At 44.9% G+C, this 3,937-nt stretch overlaps 1 pseudogene; it reads left to right on the top strand.

Annotated features, from left to right (window-relative positions):
* On the top strand, positions 332 to 1,946 carry PA2G4P1 (proliferation-associated 2G4 pseudogene 1; annotated as a pseudogene).

Genomic DNA, 3,937 nt, shown 5'->3' with positions numbered 1-3,937 from the left:
AAAACCTCTTCAATGGCCCTTCTCCCTCATACCAAATATCAATGCGCACCTGAAAGCCATCAGCTTGGTCAGGCACACCTGCGTGGACGCCCTTTATTCGCAGCACCACCTCTTAAGAACATTTAATTTCTCTGACAACCTTCAGCTCTGAGTTGTCTCTCCTATTTGATTTCCTTCCCCCTGTTACAGACAGGGAAGGACTACAGAACAGGTTCCATTGTATTTGTCATGTTGCGAAGATCAAGGAAGCTACAAAGAAGCTGAAAACTTGTCAGAATGAGCCTCTGGGTATTTAAAAATGAAATAAGAAAACTTCTTCATTTAAAAACAGAGCTTTGCTCTCGCCTGCCTGCCCGCTCCCTTTCTTGCTCGCGATTTTGCTCGCCCTCTCCTCGAGGATCGAGGGGGTTCTGACCACAGCCTGCGGCTGGGAAGGGAGACAGGCGGCAGCTCAGAGAAAACGAGGCTGCAGTGATGGTGGTAGGAAGATGTCGGACAAGGACAAGCAGCAGGAGCAAACTATCGCCAAGGACCTGGTCGTGACCAAGTATAAGATGGGGGGGGGGCGACATCGCTAACCAGGTACTACGGTCCTTGGTAGAAGCATCTAGCTCAGGTGTGTTGGTACTGAGCCTGTGTGAGAAAGATGATGCCATGATTATGGAAGAAATAGGGAAAATCTTCAAGAAAAAAATAGAAATGAGAAAAGGTATTGCTTTTCCCACCAGCATTTCAGTAAATAACTGTATATGTCACTTCTCCCCTTTGAAGAGCAACCAGGATTATATTCTCAAGGAAGGTGACTTGGTAAAAATTGACCTTGGGGTCCATGTGGATGGCTTCATCGCTAATGTAGCTCATACTTTTGTGGTTGATGTAGCTCAGGGGACCCAAGTAACAGGGAGGAAAGCAGATGTCATTAAGGCAATTCACCTTTGTGATGAAGCTGTCCTACGCCTGGTCAAACCTGGAAACCAGAACACACAAGTGACAGAAGCCCTGAACAAAGCTGCCCACTCACTTAACTGCACGCCAATAGAAGGTATGCTGTCACATCAGTTGAAGCAGCATGTCATCGATGGAGAAAAAACCATTATCCAGAATCTCACAGACCAGAAGAAGAAGGACCATGAAAAAGCGGAATTGGCGGTACATGAAGTATATGCTGTGGATGTTCTCGTCAGCTCAGGAGAGGGCAAGAGCAAGGATGCAGGACAGAGAACCACTATTTACAAATGAGACCCCTCTAAACAGCACGGACTGAAGATGAAAACTTCACATGCCTTCTTCAGTGAGGTGGAAAAGTGTTTTGATGCCATGCCGTTTACTTTAAGAGCATTTGAAGATGAGAAGAAGGCTCAGATTGGTGTGGTGAAGTGCACCAAACATGAACTGGTGCAAACTATTTAATGTTCTCTATGAGAAGGAAGGTGAATTTGTTGCCCAGTTTAAATGTATAGTTCTGCTGATGCTCGATGGCCTTATGCAGATAACCAGTGGTCCCTTCGAGCCTGACCTCTACAAGTCTGAGATGGAAGTCCAGGATGCAGAGCTAAAGGCTCTCCTCTAGAGTTCTGCAAGTCAAAAAACCCAGAAAAAGAAAAAAAAAAAAAAAAGAAGAAGGCCTACAAGACTGCAGAGAAAGCCACCAGTGGGGAAACATTAGAAGAAAATGAAGCTGGGGACTGAGGTGGGTCCCATCTCCCCAGCTTGCTGCTCCTGCCTCATCCCCTTCCCACCACACCGCAGGCTCTGTGAAGTATAATTCTTCTTCTCCACCTAGGACCACCAGCAGAGCGGGGTCTCCCTGCCCCCATCCCAGTTCCCCAACCCACTCCCTTCCAACAACCAGCTCCAACTGACTCTGGTCTTGGGAGGCAAGGCTTCCCAATCACAGGAGACTAAATGAAAAAAAAGAAATTGAATAATAAAATCAGGAGTCAAAAACTAAAATAAAATAAAAACAGAGCTTTGTTGTTAACTGTGGAAAAGAAATTCTTAATGGAGATTTCTAAAACTGATAATTACCTAATGAGATCCACTGTGAGAAAAGGGAGGAAGGAGTGAAATAGCCACGAGGATTACCTGGATAAAGGGCATCTACCTACATGAACTGTTTGCTATGGGAATGCAAAGCAAATCAAATCCAGTCAATTGAAAACCTAGCATTATCAAAAAGGCAGATATCATATCAGAAAAAAATAGATGTTTTAGGGCTGGGTGCAGTGGCTCACACCTGTAATCTCAGCACTTTGGGAGGCCAATAAGGGAAGATCCCTTGAGTCCAGGAGTTCAAGTCCAGCCTGGGGATTATAGTGAGACCCCTGTCTCTACAAAAAAAAAAAAAATTTAATTAGCTGGGCACGGTGGGGCACAACTGTAATCTCAGCTACTCAGAAGGCTGAGGCAGGAGAATCGCTTGAATCTGGGAGGCGAAGGTTACAGTGAGCCGAGATCACCCCACTGCACTCCAGCCTGGGTGACAGAGTGAGACTCCATCTCAAAAAAAAAAAAAAAAAAGCACATTGTCCAAACATAAAGATTTTTTTTTATGTCTACAGCAGTGTATCCAGCATCGTGGATGGCCCTTACATGAGAGCAGAAACCTGATAGACCATGATGAGGATTCAAGGAAAAAAGGGATGTGAAGGCCCTATGTAGACAGTCAAGACCTAGGCACGTAGAAAAAAAAAATAACATTAATGGTAACAGTTATTCCAAAACCCATGGGATTTATTTAACAAACATTTACCAAATACCTGCCTTGTGACAGACACCATGGGTGTTAGAAACTTGAGGAAGGCCTAGACATTCCCCTTAAGGGGCCTATGCTTTTGGTGGAGCTAAACAATGTCTACACATATCCCTGTAAATTCAAGATAGCCTCTAGTGAGGGTAGTGATGGGGGGAGATATAGAAAAGAAGGCTTCTTGGAGGTGATGAGTTTTGAGCCAGACTGTAAAGGAGAATTTTAGACATTTTTTTCAGGGGTGTTCTCTGCTACTCCCAAAATTAAATGGTAATCTCTTCAGGTTGTATAGCCTTGGGTCCCTCCCCTATCCCACCCTGTCCCTTGTGATGAGTTTGCACTTTTCTTGACTGACAGAGGAAGTCTGGTGGAGAAAGAAAACACATTTCCCTAAGCAAATCTGAAATTCTGGATTGTGCCAACTTCCTGGTTTGGAGAAGATCAGGTATCATGGGTGGGATATCTAGGGATAAAGATAGGCACCAACTATACACCAGAGATAGGGAATGTGACATCCTGGTTGGGTTTGCATCTACAGGCAGCAGGCTCAGGCAGATAACCAAGGATATGGAGACTGTTCCATGGAATTCTGAATCATATACTTCCCATGAAGAGAGCCCTAATGTGGGAACTAGGAAGAGACTCTTTCTCAGTTTCGCTTCAGGTATTTCTTGAAAGTGAACCTGCTCAGTTTTTTTCCTCCTTTGTTTGCTGGTGCCAACCAGTTCCCCTCCCAGAGACTTGGAGCCAGTTCTAAGCACCTGGTGAGATAGTGTGCTGCCACTGCAACAGAACCATCTCCAGGATCCACTTCACTTCTTTACAACAGCTTGCTCTATGACAAGCCCAGTGCCCAATCCTACCTCCCTGCACAAAGAAGAAGATTCAGGTGCACACTTCTTTGCCAAAAACTTTAATATTGGCAGTAGTCTTTATATTGTGTTTCAGTCCCACTGATAAGTCCAGGAGGCAACTGGAGAAGAAATGATTGCATATAAACTAGAGTCTTGGCAAATATATCAGAATATCAACACTGTATATAGCTGGAAGGCATTGGCTTCCAGAAGTCTTGGCCAAATCCCCTAGAGGGGCACAGGAATGATTGGGGGGAGGCACTAGGATGGGGACCATGGAGAGTTCTGCTCTCTTTGGGTTCTGCATGTCAATCACCAGCTACAAATGACAGTT

This window comes from Homo sapiens, chromosome X, assembly GCF_000001405.40.
Source record: "Homo sapiens chromosome X, GRCh38.p14 Primary Assembly".
NCBI classification, from domain to species: domain Eukaryota; kingdom Metazoa; phylum Chordata; class Mammalia; order Primates; family Hominidae; genus Homo; species Homo sapiens.
Note: the sequence above shows the minus strand (reverse complement) of the source record. Positions and strands in the feature narration are given on the sequence as shown.